This window comes from Homo sapiens, chromosome 2, assembly GCF_000001405.40.
Source record: "Homo sapiens chromosome 2, GRCh38.p14 Primary Assembly".
Lineage (NCBI taxonomy): Eukaryota > Metazoa > Chordata > Mammalia > Primates > Hominidae > Homo > Homo sapiens.
The window spans coordinates 119,680,187-119,703,069 of record NC_000002.12 but is presented as its reverse complement, the minus strand read 5'-3'; the positions used below and the strand labels follow the sequence as shown (position 1 = coordinate 119,703,069).

The window sequence follows — 22,883 nt, the reverse complement described above, 5'->3', positions numbered from 1 at the left end:
GGCTCCTGCTGAGCCGGCCACGCCCTGGGCCACGGTGAGCTTGCTCCCCCTGCTGGCCAGATAGGGCATCTGCGGGAAACAGTGCCCAGCGGGCTCCTGCCCGGTCACAGGAATTGGCCACTCTGAGGATAGTATGCACCCAGGCTCTGGTACCAGCCCCCTGAGAAGTTCCCACAGGGCTTTGAGCATCCAAGGGATGACATCCCTGGGATAGAGGACTGTTTTGGTTAGAGCAGGAGGTCTGACACTATTGGAAATTTAAATCGGCATACATATCAAGAACCTTAAAATGTTCAATTCAGCCTCACCTCCTCCAGGAAGCCTTCTGCAATCACACTCCCCAACCACCCAGTGCAATCTTTATGCCCTTTTCCCCTGATCCCATGGCATTTTTGCTTGTCTCTGACTCAGGTGAATAAGAAAAGTAACTTTATTTTGCATTAATTTTTACATTTTTATTTTGAACTCCAATTCCATCAAAAAGTGGTAGTAACTTAATTTTAGTCATTTCAGGGTTCTCTCCTGCCCTTTCCCTGGGATTATGTCCTAGAGCAAGGTGGGTGAACAAAGGAACTCTTATGTAGTGCCAAGACATAGGAGCCACCAATCCTCTTTGTCATCTGTCCTCATAAGCACCATCTCACTCACTGCTGAGATGTTCCTGGGCAGCAGCCAGCAGCCAGCAGCCAGCAGCCAAGGAGTCCCCATGAGAGGCCCCACATTCCTGATGGTGGGACCCCTTCACTTGTTACATTGGTGAAACTGCCTTTGCAATATTATAACTGAGGAAATGATGACAGTGAAAGAAATCAGACCTAACCGACTCCATCTTGCTTCTAACATTTAAGCTGTCCTTGTTCATTCCTGGGCATAGGCCAAACTAACTTTGGGAAGGAATTCAGTTCATGGTTTGGCTATGAAACAAAATCAGTTCTTGCCTGGGGACCAGCCTGGCTTTGCAGGACTAACAAATTAGCTACAAGATTAGAAATTACAGTTTAGGGGTCATGCAGCCTCCGGCTCCAAGAGTCTGAACTTCCCCAAATTGCTCCTGAGGATAACATCACTACTGTAAAACCTAAGATCCGTGCTTGAGATATTCTGCAGACCCTGCACTGGATGGATCAGCTGAGAAACTAGACCGGTAATCTGACTCAACCTGTTCTGCTGTCCCACCCAGGAACAGAAGACAGCAAGAAAAGCTCACTTTGATCCTCTCTGATTCCCTCTCCAATCTGACCAATCAGCACTCCCCACTTCCCAAGCCTTCCTATCTGCCAAATTATCTTTAAAAACTCTGATTTTAGTAATAATAGAGACTGACTTCAGTAATAATAAAACTCCCGGTCTCCCGCCCAGCTGGCTCTGCGTGAATTCCTCTTTCTCCATTGCAGTTCTCCTGTCTTGATAAACCGGCTCTGTCTAGGCAGCCAGCAAGGTGAACCCATTGGGCGGTTACACTGGGATTCACTGGAACCCCTCTGTGGCCTTGTCACTGCGCTGGGACACCGGACTTTCTGAAAGAACAGGTAAGGAGAGCTCTATTCAGCTCTCCGCACCCCACCCCCAACTGGGCTCCCCCGACCCCCTAGGGAAATGAGGGCCAGGCTCCCTCTGCTCTCAATCCCCTCAACCCACTCGCGGTCCTGCCACCTCCCAGGGCCTCAGTTAGGAGGCAGGACCCAGAACCCGCTTTTCACCTTTTTCCCTTCACCCAGCCCCAGGAACCTTAGCCTGGCTCAACTTCCTCTCTTTTGCTCCTGTTGTTTTCTCCTAGATCTTTTGTCCAAGCCCAAGTAACTTTCTGTTCCCCTATGGCTCTAGGAAGGCTTGGAAAACAAAAGCCAGGAAGCAACTCCTTTTTTCTGCTTTCTGCTCTCATACCTCTTCCCTGGGGCAAAGGACACAGCACCTTAAATAGGGAGAAAAAAGGAATAAAGGGAAAAGGAGGTGGGAGGGATGGGGGAGGAATAACCTGCTGTTTCAGAACTACCAGGTCACCACACATTCCTGCCCTCCTGCCTCCAGCTCTGTCCTTGGCTCTCTTGTCCCCAGGATCAGTCAGACCTGTGGCGAATCAGAGAAGAGAAGGCTGTGAGCCTTTTAGGGACAGCGTCCTCCCTGTGATCGCGGTTGCCAGCACAGGCCTGGCCTGAGGGAATTGCAAATGCATGCATGTAAAGATCTCAAAACAGCCAGAAAAAGCAAGGTTACCTATTCATGAAAGAGGCCGGGACAGCTGCAGAGAAAAACAAAGCCATGTGGATCTCCTAGGACAGAAATCTGCAGGAAAAACTGCCTTTAGTGAAGTGACACTTGCCTAGGAGCCAGGAGACCTACAAAATGGTGTTTCCATTTTACCATAGGCCAGGTCTTGTCATTGAATCTGGGAGGCAGAAGTAAAGAGAAAAGATCATGGCCTTTGCAGTTGATGCTGCCTTTTGAAACATGGCCCGATGGTGGGTGCAACTGTAGGTAAGTTCTTAACCCTTAACCTTTCCATAAGTCTCATTTTTCTCATCTGCAAAGCAGACAATCTCCCCATTGCAGTGTTGTGAGGATTAAAGGAGAATATATATCAGAAGACCTAACATAGTACCTGTTTGGCGTATGGAGATGGGGCATTCTCTCCATGTGGACAAGCTCGAGTTGACCGTTGCTTTAAATGTCCCGGAAAGCCAAGGACAATGCCACGGGAACTCTCAGGCTCCCAACAAGAGTAAACTGAAAGAAACAATGATACTGGCCTCACCTTGAAAGTCACTGGCCTGCAGATTCCCATGGCACCCAGCTTCCTGCTTGTTCCCTCCCACGATCCATACCCCAAGTACACCCACCTCTTGTTCCCATTCCTGTTTCCTGTTCCTTCTTTCTTTCTGTTTCCTTTTAATTGCATTTATTTTATGCTGAATTTATTCCAGAGCCATACGTTTTTGTTTCTTTAGTTTCTTCTGCGCTAACTTTTTCTTCTGGGCAACCTCCTCTTCTGGTTTAGGAACAATTTGTTCCTTTTCAGTAAGGATGATCTCGATGTGGCAGGGAGAGCTCATGTGTGGGTTAATCAACCATGAGCTCTCTAAGTCTGGAGGGGCATTTTACGTGCTTTATTCACCTGGATGTGCTCAATGACCAAAGAATCTACATCTAAACCCTTAAGTTCAGCATTGCTCTCTGCATTTTTAAGCTAGTGCAACAAAAACTCAGCACTCTTTTTGGACCACTGACCTTGTGTCCAGCCTCACTTCTTGGCCTGGGCACTACCAACTCCCCCATTGTAACATCAGAATGGCACTGATATGGTCTGGCTCTGTGTCCCCATCCAAATCTCATCTTGAATTGTAATCTGCATTGTAATCCCCATGTGTTGGGGGAGTGACCTCTTGGTGAGACAGCCAGGTGGGAGGGGGTCCCTGGAAAAACTCCAACCGGCTTGCACCCTGGGGTGGAGCCTTGGGAAATTCACTCCTTTTGCAGTGGGGAGGAGCCTGGCCCCTCCTCTTCCTGTGTGGAACCTGGGATTCTAGCTGCGGGTGGGAAGCACCCTAGTAGGGACTCTAGCCTAACAAGACAATGGAACCCTGTCTTACTCACCATTCAAATTGTCTGCGAGCCTGAATTTTCGTAGCTGTGGGACAAAGAGCCCTGTCTTTAGCTGAACTAAGGAAAAGTCCTGCCACAGTGGGAGGGGATTGGATCATGGGGGCGGTTCCCCCGTGCCGTGCTTGTGATAGTGAGTGAATTCTCACGAGATCTGATCGTTTTATAAGGGGCTCTTCCCCCTTCACTTGGCACTTCTCTTCCTGCCATCTTGTTGAATAAGTCCTTGCTTCCCCTTCGCCTTCTGCCATGAACGTAAGTTTCCTGCGGCTTCCCCAGCCATGCTGAACTGTGTGAGTCACTTTCCTTTATAAATTACCGAGTCTGGGGCAGTTGTTTATGGCAGTGTGAAAACGAACTAATACAGGTACACACTGTCTCTGTAAAGTGACATCGTTCAGACACTTCGTGGCTTTTCATATAAGCACACCCTTGATGACCTGGGCAGTTTCACAAGTGTCCTTTCTTTTGGTTTTGAGACAGAGTCTCACTCTGTCGCCGAAGCTGCAGTGCAGTGGCATCGTGTTGGCTCACTGCAACCTCCGTCTCCTGGGTTCAAGCAATTCTCCTGCCTCAGCCTCCCAAGTAGCTGGGATTACAGGTGCCCACCACCACGCCTGGCTAATTGTTATATTTTTAGTAGAGACGGGGTTTCACCATGTTGGCCAGGCTGGTCTCGAACTCCTGACCTCAGGTGATCCACCCACTTCGGCCTCCCAAAGTGCTGGGATCACAGGCGTGAGCCACCACGCCCAGTCTCAAGAGTGTTCTTAAAGTGAACACAAAGATGGAAACACCTTGATTTGCAAGATTTAGTAGGGTTTTCTGGGTCAAATGAATAGCGAACCATTTTCACAGATCATCTCAAGCCACTTAGGAGAAGACCCCCATCTGCTGTTTCACTTCCATCCTAGGTTCCTCTTCACCCTGAAGTTTGGTCATTAGAACCAGTGAGCCAATAACTTGCTTCCTTACCTCCTGTTGTTCAGCCAGGATGTCTTGGCACCTGTGTGCAAGCTGCTGGGGCTCAGAAAATTATACCTCAAAGTATGGTGCTTCGGTGTGCTGAGCACTTTTAAATGAAAGGAAGTTGGAAGGCCTTAGAAGCGGTCTCAGAACCAAAGACTTTCTAGCCTTCTCTTGTTTCTTCCCCCAACTGTGCAGGGAGGGGATCTCTCTGAAGTTCCCTCCAGAAGGAACACTTTGACCCCCTTCCTAGGAATCTCATCAAATAAGCGGAAAGATTAACCACGGGAGAAGAGAAAAGAATAAAAGTTGCTACCACACCCAGGCAGACTTTTCATCTGTTCTTCTGAGGGCCACTCCAAGAGATTACCGGGGAGACTTTGCCTGCAAAATAAGGCAACCTTTGTTCACCGTGAAGTTCTGCCCTCACCTTCCTGCAAGTTGGCATTGCCTCCCCTGGAGCTCAGAGGAACTTCATCCCAGGCTATTGTCTGCTTTTTAGGCTCATTCATTTCCCCTAAAAATAATTTATTATGCCTCAAAATTGCCTATGTTCCCCCACCTCCCTCTCCCCTATGAAGAGGGTGCTATTTAAGCTCCAGCCATCTGGCCCTTCTTTGAGCCTCATATTTTGTATGGCTCCTGTGCATACTTGCACATTCATACATTTGCATGCCTTTAATCTGTCTAGTATCGGTTCATTTCAGTGAACCTTCAGAGGGTGGAGGGGAAGCCCTCAGCGAGGTTGCTGTGAAGAGGAGGGAGACAGAAAGCAAGGAATCCAGAGTGAGAGAGAGAGAGGAAGCTGAGGGAGCCACGACAGCACAGACAGAGGGGAGGGGTGAGGAATCGAGTAGTTTTCTGGGAAGGGGGGCCTGCAGTGCTTTAGGCAGAGGGAACAACATGTGCAAATATCTGGAGGTAAGAAAGAATAGCCTGGACTTCGTTTTGTTTTGTTTTGAGATAGAGTCTCTCTGTTGCCCTGGCTGGAGTGCAGTGGCTCCATCTCAGCTCACTGTGACCTCCGCCTCCTAGGTTCAAGTGATTCTCCCGCCTCAGCCTCCTGAGCAGGCACACACCACCAAGCCCGGGTAATTTTTATATTTTTAGTAGAGATGGGGTTTCACCATGTTGCCTGGGCTGATCTCAAATTCCTAGGCTCAAGTGACCCACAAGCCTTGGCCTCCCAAAGTGCTGGGATTGCAGGCATGAGCCACAGCACCTGACCAAATAGCCTGTACTTCTACAGAGCTGGATCCCTAAAGCAGGCACATGTGGAGACGGGAAGTGGAGGCAGACCCTGACCCTGCAGTCCTGTTTAGGAGTTTGGTTCCGTGTTTTGTTGTGGTTCAATTCAAGGCAAGTTGAGTGTGACCAGCACCTCTGGGAACTGTACCTTTGGATCTCTTGAGGAAGCCAAGGTGTGCTGGAACTGTCAGCACCAGCCTGCAGCTGGTCAGCCAGGTCTGTGTCTGGCCATGTGAGAATTTCCCCAGGGCAGGGTGCTTCCCTCAGAGACCGGAGTAGCTGGAGAGACAATGGATTTCAACAACAGAGTGAAGCTAGAACAAAAGCTTCCAGACACAGGTGGGGAAAACTCCTGTCCATCCTTCACAAGACCCTATACAATCTGGCCCCTTCCCCCACCTCCCCAACGTCATTTCCACTTCTCCCTGCCTCCCCGACCTCCCTGCTCCAACTTCAAATGTGCCAGGCCCGCTCCTGCCTCAGGGCCTCTGCCCTTGTCTCCCCTCTGCCTGGAATGCTCTTTCCCCGGATTTCCACTTGGTTCACTTCCTCTTTGCTCCATCGTCACCTTCTCAGTGTAGGCTGTCCTTGGCCACACTGTTGAGAAATGCATCTGCCCCCTATACCCAGCCCTTCCCATCCCTTGTCCCACTGCTGCCCTGCTTATCATCCTGGATGCTCTATAATGACTTATTCCTTGTTTATTGGCTGTGCCTCTCACTAGAATATAAGAGCAGGCATTTTTATCCATTGTGATTTCTCTAGGGCCCAGAACAGAGCCTGGCACATATCAGATGTTCAATAAATGTGTGCTAATAAATGAAGGGTTGGTGGTAGGGATGTGGCAGGTTTGTGTGAAGCACTGCCCCCACACCGTGGTCACCATGAGGTCCGTGACAAATGATAATACCAGCAACAGACCTTCTCCCCAGGTCTAGTCCTACTGGGGTTTACAGTACCCTCAATAATGACCTCAACAGCTGCCACCCAGCTACACTCTTCCCTTGGTTCTAGTTTAATCCCTGAGGACTGAGCTCTGCCCTCATGCTTTTGAACAGCTGGGATTTCTGAACACTGTCCCCATTCAGGCTGCCTATACCTCACTCATGCATTAATTCACTGCATGCCTCCTGGGCCAGGCCCTGTAGGATGGTCTGCAGCCACAGAGATGAGATGGTCACAGCCCCTTGCGCCTCTCCCTAGTGTGGCTCACCCCTGAGGTCTGAGCTTGCCCACAGACTCAGGGCAGCTGCACACCTTTTGTTGGGTAAATCAAACAGTCCTAGGTTTCAGGCCAGGCTGGGCCATGCTTGCAGTGGGCCCCTGCAGAGCCAGTCCCCTTCTTTTGCTGCTGAGGCTTCCCAAGGCCACACAGCTGGATGGGGGCAATGCCAGGACTCAAAGCAAGATGCACGGTCAAGGCCACTGCCATTTGTGCTATACACCACATCAACTCTGTAAATCCACTCTCAAAAGAGGATCAACTGTGTACAATTTACCACCCCAGGGTGCTGTGAAGTTCAAAAAAATAACATATATGAGAGTGTTTACAAACTGATAAATATGTCTTACAAATCTGGACTTTTCCCCAGAGCCTTGCGCTGTGGCTTGTACATAGCGGGTGCTCACAAAATGCTTTTGGGTTGGATTCTCAGCCCGCAGGCCTCCCTCCATGGCGCTTCCTCCCCACCTCTCTGCCCTTGCTCCATCTCCCATATCCCCCACCCACTCACCAGTCACTGAGCACTCCAGCGGACCAGGTGCCCAGCCAGGTGCCCAGGATGCAAGAAGGAAGGCCAGGCCCTGCCTGTGAGACATTCACAGCCCAGTTGGGAGAGACAGACAAGGAAGCAGACAAAATGCAGTGTGAAAAGTGCATGGCAGAGTGTGCCAGGCTGCCATGGGAACAGAGGGGAGGGCTCGTAACCACAAGAATGAAAACAGCTCCTTACATCTGTGCATTGCTTTCTGCTTTTCAAAGGGCTGGGTGTGAAAGGTGGGGGAGGGATAGAGAATGAAGACATGGCGTTTTCCCAGTCCCATTTGTCCACATTCCGGGGCTGTCACCTTCGTTGAGCTTATGCTCTTTCAATGGAAAGGACACAGAGAGACTCTTTCCTACCCAGAAATGAAGGATTTTTAGCAGCTGTGTTGCACAATCATTGCCCGATGTTTGTTTTTCAGAAGGGCTTTGCCGTATCCGCTGACACTGAGCTGTAAAGACCCAAGCATTAAAAATTTGCAGCGCTGCCTCCCAGGAGCAGAATTCTCACCTCTGCTTAATGAGCCACTCCACACGTCCTTCTAGCTTAGTGCCCAAATGACATGAATTGTCCAAATAGAGTGAGTGAGCCCTTGTGGTGGTTTGGCTCCTAAGTGTGGCATATAAGCAGGCTGGGGTAGGTGATGCTGTGGTAGCAACTCCCAAATCTGGGCCTTAAAAGTACAGAGGCTTATTTATTGCCCTGACACAAGCACATGATGCAGTGGGCTCTGCTCCCCGCCACCCTCACCGGGGGCCCAAGGTCTGGGGCCCCATCAGGGGCGTGTACGACAGAGAAGGGCACCTTGGCTCTCAAATGCTTTCGCGGGGAAGTGACCCTGCGCATATGAAATCCACCGGCCAGAGCAGTCATGTGGCCACACCTACCTTCAAAGGGGCCAGGAGGAGGATGGGGACAGTGCCCGGCCAACAGCACTGTTGCACACACAGGGTCCAGGGCAGAGCCCGCTCCTGCACTAAACTCCAGCCCTGCTGTCTCTGAGGGGCCCTAAGGCCCTACTAAGAGCTGACCCACTCTCCCCACACCTCTGCTTCAGATATGCTGAGAATCTGGTGGGGGCAGTGAGTTAACATCACCCTTATTTAGGCTGGACTTCCAAATGCTGCCTGAGGGGTGTGTGTGTGTGGGTGTGTGTGTGTGAGGTGAGGTGAGTGGTGTGTGTGGAGGTATAGTGTGTGTGTGTGTGTGTGTGTGGTATACCACACAGGTGTAGTATGTTGCACATGTGTGGTAAGTGTGATATGTATGTGGTATGTGTTTGTGTTGTGTGTGCATGGTATGTTGTGTGTGGTGTGTTTGTGTGTTGTGTGGCACGTTGCATGTGTGTGGTACGTGCAATGTGCGTGGCATGTGGTGCATGTGGTATGTGTTTGTGTGTGCCATGTGTGTGGTGTGTATGTTGTGTGTGTATGTTGCATGTGCGTGATGTGTGTGGTATGTGTCATATGTGTGGTATGTGTAATGTGTATGCGTATGTGGTGTGTGGTGTATGTGGTATGTGTTTGTGTGTGGTATGTTGCATGTGTGTGTGGCTTGTGTGATGTGTGTGGCATGTGTGATGTGTATGTGATGTGTGGTGTATGTGGTATGTTTGTGTGTTGTGTTTGTGGCATGTGATGTGTGTGGTGTGATGTGTATGTGGTATGTTTGTGTGTGATATGTGTGATGTGTATGTGTGTCTTCTGTGACTGCAGCTGGTGGGCAGCGGTCATGTGGGTGGGTCACGTGGCACCCACAGGAGCCCTTTGCTTCAGGTGTGGCTGAGGCCTTTTTCCTCAGGCTGCATGGGCTTGAGAGGCTCTGCCCCCAGGTATTTAGAGAATGTCAGCCTCAGTGTTGGCTTCCCTAAAAGTAGTGAATCTTGACCTCTAGGACACACACGGGTCAGCTCAGAGAGAAGCTTGTGCAGACAGCAGCCTCTGGATCTTGCCTGTGGACGGTCTGAGTGGCTCCCAGGCCAGCCTGAGACTGCATTTAACAAGGGCCAGGTGGTGCAGACGCTCCTTCTCCAAAACCTGACCCAACTTCACTCCGCATCTTCCTCTCGGAGGAAGTTTTAGGAGAGACCGATCTTTAGCAATGAGGCCTCTGGCCAGCTCTGTCATACAAGGACAGAACAGTGACCGCATGACTGAGATGCCCATTCAGGGCTCCTGGGTGCCCTGTGTGCTACTGCGTCAAACCCACTCCCCAAAAGCACCCTACTACAGGGTGGGGCACCCCAGGGTCTCCAGGGGGGCTTTGCTGCTCCACAAAAGGGTGCTGCTGTGGCCCCTACCTCCTCACTGCGGCCACGGCCTTGACCTGTGACCCCCTACCTCCTCACTGTGGACACAACCTGGACAGGGAAACAGCACAGGCTTCACGTGTGGATGCTACAGGTCCCCATGCCGGCCCCACTGCCTTCAGCTTTGTGTAGTGGACCTAACCTCTCTGAGCCACTGCTTTCCACAGGGACCTGGGGACAAATCCCTGCCTTTTTTTTTTTTTTTTTTTTTTTTTTTTGAGACAATCTCGCTTTGTCACTCAGGCTGGAGTGCAGTGGCGTGATCTCGGCTCACTGCAACCTCTGCCTCCCGGGTTCAAGCGATTCTCCCACCTCAGCCTTCAGAGTAGCTGGGATTACAGGTGCCACCACCACACCCGGCTAATTTTTGTACTTTTAGTAGAAATGGGGTTTCACCATGTTGGTCAGGCTGGTCTCAAACTCTTGACCTCAAGTGATCCACCTGCCTTGGCCTCCCAAAGTACTGGGATTACAGGCGTGAGCCACCACACCCAGCCTACCTGCCTTTCTCTAAAGGATTCATGGTGGCTGAATGAGAAGGTGAGGAAACAGCCTGAGGCACTGTGTGGGAGCTGGGATGTTGTTCTCTGAAAGAAGTTCCAGCATGGAGCTGGGCAGAACAGGCCAAAGGGAAGCTTCACCTCAGGTGAGGCACCAAAAGCCAACTCTGCCACCTCTGTGGAGGGCCACCCCAGCGCCGACCTCGTCAGGGGTTGGTGGGAGCTGCTGTTCGCCTGGGGACATGGCCTGGGCTACACCTCACGGCTCCCTCCTCGGGCCACAGGCCTTCACACTGGCTGGATCTCTCTAGCTGTGTCCAGGCTTTCTTCCTCCTGCCCTTTGCTGGGCTGTCAGTTCCGCCTTCCCCAGGTTAATGCAACCTCTGAAAAATTCAGCAAATCTCCTCTTGCTCAACTGAAGATCTTAGGAGGCAAAACAAAATCGATTCATATGGATGCAAGCATTTTCCCACCAGCTGCCACCAGCTCAGGCACAGATGGCTTCTGACACCCATTTGGCTGACAAGGAAAGCCTTAGGGCTGCATTCAAAATGGCTCCAACAGGAGTTGTTAGGAGGTAGAGGAAGTGAAGGGTCTCCAGGCTTAGGAGAGGGAGGCACTGACGGGACAGGATGGGAAGCTGTGGCCCAGCTCCCGAGTGGTCTTTGCACCTGTGACATCGGTTGTGCTTCCTCTGCAGGGGTGGAGTCCAGACTGCGAGGCTGGGCCATCTGCAGGGACCAGCACAGGACAATCAGGTGTCAGGACGTGGGCACGTGGCTCCGGACCTGGGGATCGGTGGCTGAGGGCAGCCTCCAGCTGCTGCCACAGCAATGTCACCAGGTGATGGGGACCTTTCAGAGGAGCCTAATCCAGAGGGGACAAGACTGGGGTCTGCAGGCCTTGCCGCAGCAGCCTCTCCCATGTGGCCCCCAGAGAAGTGTGTGCTGAACTGACCTTGACACGTCAGGACCTCTGGGGCCTCCCCACACGCCACACTCCCTTCCCTTCTCTCACACAGGTCATGTGTCCAGCAAACACTTCCTGAACAGCGACATGGTCCAGTACTGGGAAGAAGAGGTGGATGTGGCCCACTGCTGCCCCTTACAGAGGTCCCAGCTGGCAGGGGCGTCAGCAACATCAATAAAACCGTACTGGGTGCTTGAGAATGTTGTGTGAGGCAGTGCTGCCAACCCTGACTCACCTCCCTGCCACCTGAGACATCTCCAAAAGTATCACCCTGGGCCAGCTCTAATTCAGTCACTGCTTGACAACTGCACCTTGGGCAATGACTGGTGAATGGAAACTATGCTCCGTTTCCTCAGGCTTTAACTCTGTGCCAGGCACTGTCCAAGGTGCTTTAAAAATATTCACTCAAACCAACCCCAGGGGCTGGGCACTGTCATTATTCCCATTTACATATGAGGGAAGCTGAGGCACGGAGAAGCTCAGGAACGTGCCCACAGCAGTGAGTTGCAGAGCCGGGATCTTAGCCCGGGTGGTCTGGCTCTGAGGCCAGAGGCTGCCTGGAGAGGCGCCCACAGATTTGCCCCCCGGCAAGGGCACCTCAGTGGACTCCAGGCTTCCAGGACTCTGATTCCAGATCCTTCCTGCCTCAGAAAATCAACAAAGACATGCATGCTTCAGGCCTGCAGAGCTGCTCACAGCTATGGAACCAGAAGGGCCTTCCCAATCTGCTGTGCTTAACCCTGAAGTGGACCAGCCCAGGGACCTGGGAAAGTGAGGGTGTCCCTGCTGTGGGGGAAAAGGGCTAGGACTTTGGTCTTTCACAAGTGGATAAAATTAGGGAAAATTCAACACTGACGTTGATTTCAGGTCTTGGAAAACCAAGCCAGTGAGCTGAAAGTGTCCACCTGATGCGGATGGGTAAAAGCGAGCATAATTCCAGCCAGGCTGTGAGCTGTCCGCGCTTAACTAGCGAGCCAGCGTCAAGGGGTTAAGACTCTGGCAGGTCTCATTTGATGATGACAATGAAGTCTATAAACACGCAGGATGTGATGATAGAGCAGTGACACTGCCGTCCGTGTGGCATGTGGACGCCGGCTCCCTCCCTCTCTCCACGTGGGCTCTGCTCCTCAGTTTGCTCCTCAGGCCCAGGCCCCAGCTTAGGCCCTGCAGCCTTTGTAATGCTTTCAGGGTTTGGCATGAGCACCCTGTCCTCACAGCCTGCTGGGGAGAGGGTAGGAGAGGTATGGGGTAGGGGTGGGCTGTATTAGTTCATTCTCGCATTGTTATAAAGAACTACCTGAGACTGGGTAAATTTATAAATAAAAGAGGTTTAACTGGCTCATGGTTCCACAGGCTGTACAGGAAGCATGACGGCTTCTGGGGAGGCCTCGGGAAACTTACAAACATGGCGGAAGGTGAAGGGGAAGCAGGCACGTCCTACACGACTGGAGCAGGAAGGAGAGAGCGAAGGGGAAAGTGCCACATACTTTTAAATAACCAGATTTCGTGAGAACTCATGAGACAGCACCAGGGGGACAGTGCTAAACCATTAGAAGCCACCCCCACGATCCAATCACCTCCCACCAGGCCCCACCTCCAACACTGGGGATTACAATTCAACATGAGATTTGGTTGGGGACACAGATTCAAACCATGTCATGGGTAATAACAAGAGTCTGGGTCCATTGCTATGACTTACCTTTGACCTCTAGCGGGGAGCAAGGCTCTTTGGGGAGCAAGGGCTCTAGGGGGCTGAGACTGGAAGAAATCCAAAGCTAGGGTGGCTCTGAGTCCAGGTGGCTCTGGACTTCTTACAAGCCAGTCCTCATCACTCCAACCCTCTGTTGTTATAATAGTAATAATATTCCTTATAGAATAATAATCCTTTATATTAAATTCTCTCTGTTCACATTACAGTGTGGTTTCAATCTCTTGGTTGGACCCTGATAAAGCCTACATAAACTGTCTCATTCCTGGCTTGGTACAGGCTGTTCCCATGGCCAGTTTCACTTGCCTAAGTGAAGGTGGAGTGGTTAAGGGCACAGGCATTAGAGCCAGACTGCCTGGGTTCAGTTCCCAAGCCCAGCACTGGCTGGTGAGAAGCCATTCGACTTCTTTATGCCTTGATTTCCCTACCTGTAAGATGGGGATAATAGGATTGTTGTGGAAATTTTATGAGTTCTTATATGTAAAGCACTTGGCACAAAATAAGTGTTAAATAAGTGTTTGGTATTATTGTTGTTGACTTCCTTCCATTCACTCGTAGGGGTTTCAGCAACAGGGTCACCTCTCCTGGGAAGTCCTCCCTGACTACCTCCCATCCCAGCTGAGTTGGCTGCCCTCCTCCTATGCTCCCTCACACATCTTCACAGCACTGAACTCACGTGTTGTCACTGCAGGTGTACTTGTCAGTCTCTTCGGTAGAACTCTGAGCTGGCTGAGGGTACTCACAGCAAGTGTCCCCAGGACCTCACACTGCACCTGACTGAGTGAGGAGTAACCGTGTTAGTGGAGGTCCTCTGAGAACCAGACACAAAGACAGGATTGCATGAGTAAGAGCCATATTGGGGGAACCGCCTGTGAAGGACAAAGAAGGAGGGGATAGAAGGCAGGGAGATCCTTCAGACCACAGTACAGGTGTGACATCTGTGGAGGAGTGGGGAGGATGGGCCTCAGACTTCAGAGCAGTTCTGAGAAAGGCTTGCCCAGGCCACTGGGGAGTTCTCGAGCCACAGTCACCTACTGGAGGAGTCCCACGATCCACTTGCAGCAGTACTGTCCCCACGCTCCATCGCTGGTGGAAAGCAGCCTGTGGAGGCAAAGCATGGGTGGACGGAGAGAAACAGCAGCTGGGGCTGTCAGTCAAATCCGCTCCGCAGCAGGTCTGAGTGGCACATTTTCATGGGCACCACAGTAACCGACAGACAGAAGGCTGGCCATGCCCCAAGAATGCAGGGCCAGAAGCAGGGATGCCAGAATCTGTCACCTTGATGCAGGGAGAGGGTGGAGGTCCAGGGTACCTCTGAGTAGGCCTTCATGCTTACACACAGTCACACGCTGCATGATGACATTCAGTCGGCGAGGAACCACGTATATGACAGTGTCCCATGAGATTAATACTACTGTATTTTTACTTTTCTATGTTTTGATACACAAATCCTCACCATTGCGTTACAGCTACCCACAGTATTCAGCACAACAACGTGCTTTACAGGTTTGGGGCCCAGTAGCAAAGGTGACACCATCTAGCCTGGGTGTGTAGGAGGCTGTGCCATCCAGGTTTGTGTAAGTACACTATGATGTTCACACAAAGATGGAATTGCCTTCCAAGGCATTTCTCAGAACATATCCCTGTCGTTAAGTGATGCGTGACCGTAAATATATATAGTGCTAAGTCCTTATTATTTGAATTCATAAAATCACTTAAAATTCCCCTATAACACAACTACTTTACATTTTGTGAATTTCCTCCTAGGTTTTACCATGTTTACATTATTGCAATCACCATGCAGATTGTACCTCATTTTTAAAAAAAGATTTGATATTTATAACTAGTATTTCCCCATGCTTCTACTGTAGTCTTCATAATTATACTTTTTAATGGCTGAAAATGTTCAACAAGTGGATACTTCCAAAGTCACTGCTATTCAACATTTCCATTATTGTCATTTTGTTGTATTTATATCTAATGCTTTTATGTACCTCTTTGGGCATGTAGTATTCAGTTTCTATGGGGTTACAGCCCTAGGAAATACATAGGTTTGAAATTACTGGGTCAAAAGATAAACTTTTATGATTGTATCAAGTTTTGCCAAATTGCTTTCCAAAAACATTATGCCAGTTAATAAAGAGTATGAGTTATCTATTTCTGCATACCAAGTTACCACACCAAATGGCTTACTACAACATGGATTTATTGTCTTCTTGTTTCTGTGGGTCAGGAATCCAGGCACAGGTTAGCTGCTTCTCTGCTCCAGGGGCTCTCAAGGCTGCAGTGAAGGTGCTGGCTGAGGCTGGGGTGCTATGATTTGGCTTTGTGTCCCCACCCACATCTCATCTTGAATTGTAATCCCATAATCCCTATGTATCACGGGAGGGACCTGGTAGGAGGTAACTGAATCATGGGGATGGTTTCCCCATGCTGTTCTCATGATAGCGAGTGAGTTCTCAAGAGATCTGATGATTTTCTACTTCCATTTTCCCTGCTGACACTCATTCTCTCTCCTGTTGCCCTGTGAAAAGGTGCTTTCTGCCATGATTGTAAGTTTCCTGAGGCCTCCCCAGCCATGTGGAACTGTGAGTTAATTAAACCTCTTTTCTTTATAAATCACACAGTTTTGGGTATTTCTTCATAGCAGCATGAGAATGGATTAATACATGCAGTCTCATCTGAAAGCTTGAGTAGGGAAGGATTCTATTCCAGGCTCACACGGTTCTTGGTAGGATTCAGTGCCTTGTGGCCCAAGGGCCCCAGCTGTTAGCTGGCTGTTTGCTCAGAGGCTGCCTTTAGTTCCTCGCCATGTGGGTCTCTCCAACATGGCAACGTGCTTCAAGATAAAACATGTGAAGCCAAGAAGACAAGGGCCTCTTAGCAAGACAGAAGTCATAATCTGTTGTAATCTAATCACTGAGGTGATATACCCTCAATGTATATCTGTATTCTATTGTTTAGAACCAAGAGGAGCAAGGGGAGTGGATTATGAACCAGGGCCAAAAATATTAGGACCAGGGATCATTAGGGTCATCTTAAAAGCTGCCTAACACAAATGTCACCAAGGGCATATGCTTGTATCAATTTTACTACAACCTTACTAACACTTAATGCTTTAGTATTTTAAAATTACCAGTATGGGCCAGGTGAAGTGACTCACGCCTGTAATCCCAGCACTTTGGGAGGCTGAGGTGTGTGGATCTCTTGAGAACAGAAGTTCAAGACCAGCCTGGGTAACATAGTAAAACCCCATCTCTACAACAAAGAAAAAAAAAATTAGCTGGGCATGGTGGTGCACACCTGTATTCCCAGTACTAGGGGGATGAGGTGGGAGGGTTGATTGAGTCCAGGAGGCCAAGGCTGAGTAAGACTCTTCTCAAAAGAAAAAGAAAAGAAAAAAAGAAAGAGAGAGAAAGAAAAAGAAAAACATTCCCTGTAGAGTAGGTGTAAAGGACCACCGTCCACGCTAATGCCCTCTTCTCCAGCCTGGTGTTTCCCCCTAAGGCCACATGTGTCCTCTGCTTTCAGCTGCTGCCAAGTACCTTCCAGAAGATGCCAACTGATAGCCACTGGGAAAACTGCCCTAACTGAACTGGGGCTTTGAAAAGCTTTAAAATAAAGCTGTATTAGGCAGCAGCGAGTTCTCTGGAAATTGCTGGTATTTGGGCAGCAACTCCAAGACCTGAACACCTTATGCCATTTAGGAGCACTAACATTTAGAAAATCAATCTTTTTTTTAAAGCCTACTATATGCCCTCACCAGGCTCCACATTTTGCAAACTTTCTTTCACTTTCATCGTCAAAACAATCCTGAAAGATAGATAGGAATGCACCCATTTTACAGACAGGAAACTCAGGACCAGAAGTCACTTGTTCCAGATCGCCCTGTTAAAGTGGTAGGCCAGGATTTGAACCCACAGCTGGCTGCCCACTCTGCTCTCTCCCTACCTCCTGAGATCCCCTTTCCTCAGCTGGTGCCTCCTAGAGCTCCATGACACCCTGCCCTTCCGTCCTGTTCCCCCTGCTGCACTAAACATGGTAGGCTGGTTGTCCCTTTCTCTTCAGTTAGCTGGAGGGGTCTCCTCGGAAGTTCTGCTCAGTGACTATTTTTTCCTAATAAAAATAGTGAGCCTGAAAAAGTTACTTCTAACCCAGCATGAGGAAAAGGGCTATGGAGTCCACAGTATAAGTCTGCACCATGAAACTTTCAGGCTAAATAGGACAGTATAAATTTAGTGTTTTAAGAACGATACCTGGAACCAGACTGCCAGCTTCAAATCCTTGTTCTGCCACTTACAAAGTTTTATGATTTAGGGCAAATTTCTTCACCTTTCTGTGATGTTCCCTTTCCTGTAAAATTGAAATAATAATATTACCAACCACATGCCCCAATTGGGAATAAATGAGAAAATGTCTCTAAAAACCTAGCACAGTGTCTGGAGGATAATAAAGGCCCCATTATGTTACTATAGGGACATGGTGGGGAGGAGACAGGCAGGAGGCCTCGCCGGGTGAGGACCCATGCATTGATCTGGAACTCAGCCTGTGATCTACACACACATGGGGATCAGGTTTGTGTGTGTGTGTGCGCGCCCAGCTCCAGGCAAGGCTGAGTGGAACCTTGCATTGTGGACACTGGTGGGGACTGAGGCAGCAGGGCTAGGAGGGTCAGTGAAGAGCAGAGCCAGCATCAGCGCCATGACTCTGAGACTCCCCTCCCTGTATTCTGGCTGTATCCAGATGTGTGTGTGTGTGTTTGTGTGTGTGTGTGTGTGCCTGCAAAGGGGGGGGGGGGCGGGCTGAGGAGGGGGAGTCTTTGTGTGTTGTAGTTTTCTGTAAGTCAGCCAAGTCCTGGGTCTGTTTTTGGTTGCTCTGGGATGTCGGGCATCCTTGCAGGTTCATACCCACAGAACCATGAACCTGGGATGGGGAGAGGCGAGGCCTAAGCCAGGAGAACAATGTTCACAAGGGATCTAGGACAGAGTGCTAATGATTCCAGCACACAGCAGGCATGGGAGAAGGAAAAGTGCAGGGTGACAGTTACAAGGCAGCTGCCTACCACCCAACTTAGCGACAAAGCCCTAGAGCATGTTTCTTCACCTTTCTGAGATCAACCTCTGACCTGTGTGTAGGGACGCAATATTATAAAAAAATCTTCCTAAAGCCAGGGTCCCTGGTGCCCTAGGTAGTAATCTGTGCCCTACAGGAAGTGACCCAGAAGTGTCCTGATTTCCCCACTGATGTCAGCAATCATGGATGACTAGGGCCAGGCTCTGTCCTTGGCAAGTCCCAAGGTGGGAAACAGGACAGGGTCGGATAGGATTCAGAATGGCCGCATACAAGGAATGCAACCAGCCTTGCTGTAATTGCTCAGAGGCTTTTAGGAAGCTGGGGCTGTGTCTGTTATAGCTTAGAGCCCTGTTCATTTATGAAAAAATATTGTTTCTAGTTACTGAAACTGCAAAAAATAAATATTATGGAGAGCCTCAATTTAGAGCTGTAAACAAGATACACGATCCTGCCACTGCAGATTTTACATTTCAGTGGAGGAGATGCTAAGCCGCTAGCTCCACGGTAACTTAATTAGTCAGCAGTAGGGCGAGGAAGAGGTATTGGGTGTATGACAGTGTATAAACGGGCATCTGACGTGAGACAGGGAGGCTTCCCTGGGAGAAGCAACGTGTGAGTGAACAGTTTCCCCTGGGCATTCCAGCAGGAGGAACACTAAATAACTGAGCACCGGGCAGGCTGTGAGACCGCAGCCCAGATCAAGGACACAGCGAACACGAAAGCTGTGTGGGCAGGAGGGGAGAGCAGTTCAGGAACCAAACTGCAGTGAGGCTAGGATCCAGAGCAAGGGAAAGTGGGACACGGATGGGCAGGAGATGCGGTTTTCGCCAGAAAGCATGGGGATGTCTCTAAAGGGCTTTAGGCAGGAGAGTCACCCAGTCAAACCTGCACTTCCAGGAGCTGGGAGAACTGGGAGAAGAGTCAGGAGGCCCAGTGGAGATGAAGAAAAGGGGATGGAGCCGAGAGCTACTGGGAGGGAAAGCACCAAGGCTGGGTGCTGGGTGAGTCATGCAGTGGGAGGGTGGGAGGGGGAAGAAGGGACACGGAGCTCAGCCAACCTGCCAGGGGGGCTCTCAGTGGGAGGGCCTGAGGTGGCCTGAGCCGGGCTGTGGAGGACTGGAGGATGCGAACAGTGCAGCAAGGCGGAGCAATGCACGCGCACACACACGCACACACATACACACGGCTGGAGGATGTGTGCGCCAAGGTTGGAGGGTAGCATGTAAGGCTTGTGTGAGGACTGGGAACAGCCTGTGAGTGGAGACAAGGTCTGTGACTTGGAGCAGAGGGAGCTGAGTAAGCAGCCTTTTCTCCCCATCGTGAGGCTGCCTTCGCTAATGGTTCGGGCAGATCAGCAGGAATGCCTGAAACCATCATGGCTCCTGCAGTACTGAGAGCAGATGGGTTGGGGGTGGGAGTGGTGAGAAAGTGGAGCCCATCAAATCCAGGCCCCAGACCGTACTGCTCAGGAATGAGGTGGCCTCACATGGCCTTGTGGCCCTTTAAGTACAGCAGCAGCAGGTGGGTGACACCCCAAGGGGCCCCATGAAATGGTGTGTCCCTGAGTGAAGACTGGTTCACCCAGCCACTGCCTCATCTATCCACCTATGTATTCCAAGCCCGTGCCCAGTGCCGTCCTAGGTACCAGGGCCTGGGGAATGAGCAAGGATGTGCTGCCCTCAGGAACTCAGCCTGTTCAGGTCCAGTGTGAGGACCCGTGAGCTGGCCCAGCACACTGAGCTCCAGCCCACAGTGAGGGGCCCAGCAGGGAGGTGTGCCATTCCCACTGCATTCTGCAGCCCCACTGGCTCACTCTCCTCTCCAGGTCTACTGCCAGGACCTGCCACCACTGTGTTCAAATACTTTCCCAGGGAAAACCTCATCTCCAACTAAAAGATGTCATGAAGCCAAATTGGGTCTGGCTCCCTGATCACAACTCTCCTCACCTTGCCCTGCTGTGGTCCTGTCCAAGGATCTAACCCAGGGGCCCGGCTCCATCCACCACCGGAGGGCTCAAGGGAAATAAGCAGGGCAGGGCTGCAGTCTCCCCTGGGTCCTGAGTGGGACCAGGCCTAACCCACTGCCCACCTCCACCCCTCTGCTCTCCTTGCTGACCCCTACGAGCCAAGCTTACCCCCACCTTGCTGCCTCTCCTCTCCAAGCCCTGGCCACGCTGTGCCTGGGGAGGCTGACAGCTCTGGATGGCGCCAGTGGGCTCCCTCCCTGCAGGGCCTCGGTCTTACAATGGTTTGTTCCTTCCTCTACATTTGAGTGAAGCTCTTGCCAAGTCTCCCATGCCACAGATCTCGGAGTTCTGGAACACCTCCCCTCCCCTCAGGTCCAGGGACTCTCCTGGCACGTGCTGGTCTCCTTCTCCCTGAGTGTGCCATCTGCATCCACGGGACCTTGACTGACACAACACTCTTAAGGCCCCCTCACCTTAAAACAGCCTCTCAGGACCACACTAACTTCTCATCTTGGGCTCTCTAGTCTTTTAACCTCTAACAGAGTGGAGGAAAATTGGGATTTGACCACCACTTAAATTGAGGGGTGGTTCTTCACTGTAGGAAAGTGTTCACATAACTGCTAGTACCCTGGTGTTGAGGTGTGCCCTGACTCCCACAGCCTGGTGGCACTCAAGACCAAGAAGGAGGCTGGGCGAGGTGGCTCACGCCTGTAATTCCAGCACTTTGAGAGCCTGAGGAGGGTGGATCACTTGAGCCCAGGAGTTTGAGGCTGCAGTGAGCTATGGTCACCACTGCAGTCCATCCCGGGCAACAGAGTGAGATGCTCTCAAAAAAAAAAAAAAAACGACCAAGAAGGAGGGATGTCTGTTTATTTACAGTGCACCCTTTGTGCCAGGCCCTTATGTTCATGACCTTACCCAACTCTACAATCTTGCAAGGCGGTTTACATCATCTCCACTTTACAGTTCAAGAAACAAAGGCTCAGATTCATAGCCCCTGAATAGTCCCTCATAGTCCCTGAGTTCATAAGTAGTGGTTATAGTACAATCTAAGCTATTTAATTCCAAAGCCAGTGATTTTTCTGGCCGTGAGCTATAGGTCCAAAGGCTCCAACAGGGCCCTCCAGACTCAATGGCAGGGTGGTGTCTGCACAAGCTGGAAGTGTCCTTGTGATGAGCCCATCAGGAGCGGCCCGGATTGAGCATCCCCCTCCACATCTGCAGCACAGAGTCCCGGCGGGTGGTGTAGGGTAAATGTTTGATTCGGAACAAGTGTCTGGGGACGATGTTCCCGCTGGGTGTATACAGCTTCTCCCCGTCTTTGCCCAAGAGACTGCGCAGGGCCAGGTTGCCCGACAGAAGCTTCTCATAGAACTCCACTCCACCACAGGCATAGGCTGCAGAGAGGGAGGCCGTGCGGCGGTCCAGCCAGGACTCCACGGCATGAGTGAGAGAATCCTGGGAGAAGGCGTAGGCCACAAAGCCTGCCACTGCTGCCACCAAGCTGAAGGCAGCCCGTAAATTCATGGGGCCTGCATGGAGCCCCAGGGTGTACTTGGCACCCACGCCCAGTGCCCAGGTCCCTGCCAGGCAAGCTGGGGCCAGCAGGGCGTGCACGGCAGTGGTACTGCTTTCCAGGTACACCACTTCCCTGGCCAAGGCGAACTTCTGGGCTTCACGGGACAAGGTCAGGGAAGCTCTCAGCCGGGCGCCTGCTGGGCTCCGCCAGTCCACTGTATGCCCATGTATGACCACGGGATGGTTAGTGTTGATCACTAGGTCTCCCAAGAAACTGGCAGGGATGCCCACCACAGCCCCAGCAGGGAGTCTTGGGAAGCCTGCACTCACAGGTTGGAAGGTGAAGGTGGTGAAGGGCTTGTAGCAATGGCCTGAAGGAACACCTATGTCCTGTAGCACCTCTTGGAAGAGGCTCTGCAGCTGTGGAGGGAGCGGAGCTGGCTGGCCCTGAGGCCAGTACTGGTAGAGCCATTGGACCACGGGATCCGGGAAGAGGTGGTACGAGATTGGAACTCCAAACAGGCCTGCACAGGAACCCACCAAGAGGCCTGTCCTGTGTCTCTGCACAAATGCTGCGGTCCGCCACAGGGGACCTGCCATGAGTGTAGTCACTGCGGACAATCTGGGCCAAGAAAAAGAGAAGTCAGCCAGTTTCCCTGGGTCAGCCTGCAGACTGAACATCCTCCAGGGTCCACACCACCTTTTTAAACCAAAGTAACACAGCATAGTGGTGAAGAGTGTGGGCTCTAGAGCCAGAGTGCCTGTGTTCAAATCCCAGCTCCGTCTCTGTGCGTCAATTTCCCCATGTGCCAAACAGGTGTGTCGTAATGGCCCACCTCTAGGGTGGCGGTGATGAGCACATGAATAAACATACATAAAACATTTAGTGTCTGGCACAGCAGCAGATATTCCTTATAATAATGGCTGTAATGACTTTTATTCCCATCGCTGGGCACGGCACTCCAACTGCCTCATTCCACTCATCCCATGGTAAAGCCCTATGATTACTAATTTATAAGGAAAAACGTGTTCAATTTATTGAGTGCTTACTATATGCTAGACTCAGTTCTGAGCACTCTTACCGATTGAACCCTCACAACCCCATGACCTAATTACTACAGCTAACCCTATTTCAAAGCTGTGAAAACTTAAATGGCCAAAATCCTAAGCTAGTGAAGTGACAGTGTTATGGGCTGCACTGTGTCTCCTCCTCCTCCCCAGTTCATATATTTAAGTCCTAACCCCCAGTACCTCAGACTGTGGCTGT

General features: G+C 50.9%; 1 protein-coding gene and 1 pseudogene across 13 annotated transcripts in view, besides 6 other annotated features; both read right to left on the bottom strand.

Annotated features, from left to right (window-relative positions):
• TMEM177 (transmembrane protein 177) overlaps nucleotides 1-22,883 on the bottom strand; it is a 44,418-nt gene that overhangs the window by 20,549 nt on the left and 986 nt on the right. For 3 of the 13 annotated variants that reach the window (XR_007082532.1, XR_007082531.1, XR_007082533.1), the window contains exons 2-3: nucleotides 21,017-22,238; nucleotides 15,249-17,412 (exon numbers count right to left, since the gene is read on the bottom strand). Coding sequence is in view for 3 of the 13 variants with exons in the window: in NM_001105198.2 (NP_001098668.1) it covers nucleotides 21,281-22,216 (936 nt within the window). In the remaining 10 variants the exon portion in view is untranslated. Of the gene's footprint in view, nucleotides 1-1,324; nucleotides 1,518-1,975; nucleotides 2,068-2,214; nucleotides 2,240-2,599; nucleotides 2,725-4,884; nucleotides 4,948-5,959; nucleotides 6,091-7,933; nucleotides 8,026-12,659; nucleotides 13,837-14,094; nucleotides 14,161-15,248; nucleotides 17,413-20,951; nucleotides 22,239-22,883 lie in introns of those variants that run through there. The other 10 variants (NM_001105198.2, NM_030577.3, NM_001105199.2 and 7 more) reach the window with 7 other exon arrangements.
• Nucleotides 591-1,196: an enhancer, noted in NCBI's record as "H3K27ac-H3K4me1 hESC enhancer chr2:120459450-120460055 (GRCh37/hg19 assembly coordinates)". NCBI's record gives its function as "activates a minimal SCP1, AML or CMV promoter by ChIP-STARR-seq in naive H9 embryonic stem cells {active_cell/tissue: H9 hESC(naive)}" and the evidence as "EXISTENCE:reporter gene assay evidence [ECO:0000049][PMID:30033119]".
• Nucleotides 1,197-1,803: an enhancer, noted in NCBI's record as "NANOG-H3K27ac-H3K4me1 hESC enhancer chr2:120458843-120459449 (GRCh37/hg19 assembly coordinates)". NCBI's record gives its function as "activates a minimal SCP1, AML or CMV promoter by ChIP-STARR-seq in primed H9 embryonic stem cells {active_cell/tissue: H9 hESC(primed)}" and the evidence as "EXISTENCE:reporter gene assay evidence [ECO:0000049][PMID:30033119]".
• Nucleotides 1,197-2,862: a biological region, named in NCBI's record as "MED14-independent group 3 enhancer GRCh37_chr2:120457784-120458983".
• Nucleotides 1,663-2,862: an enhancer, noted in NCBI's record as "MED14-independent group 3 enhancer chr2:120457784-120458983 (GRCh37/hg19 assembly coordinates)". NCBI's record gives its function as "activates an origin of replication core promoter dependent on BRD2, BRD4, P300/CBP and CDK7 cofactors, and independent of MED14, by STARR-seq in HCT116 cells {active_cell/tissue: HCT116}" and the evidence as "EXISTENCE:reporter gene assay evidence [ECO:0000049][PMID:35650434]".
• Nucleotides 1,804-2,409: an enhancer, noted in NCBI's record as "NANOG-H3K27ac-H3K4me1 hESC enhancer chr2:120458237-120458842 (GRCh37/hg19 assembly coordinates)". NCBI's record gives its function as "activates a minimal SCP1, AML or CMV promoter by ChIP-STARR-seq in naive and primed H9 embryonic stem cells {active_cell/tissue: H9 hESC(naive and primed)}" and the evidence as "EXISTENCE:reporter gene assay evidence [ECO:0000049][PMID:30033119]".
• Nucleotides 2,875-4,467, bottom strand: RPL17P15 (ribosomal protein L17 pseudogene 15; annotated as a pseudogene).
• Nucleotides 5,232-5,381: a silencer, noted in NCBI's record as "silent region_11911". NCBI's record gives its function as "represses an Ori minimal core promoter by ATAC-STARR-seq in GM12878 lymphoblastoid cells {active_cell/tissue: GM12878}" and the evidence as "EXISTENCE:reporter gene assay evidence [ECO:0000049][PMID:35858748]".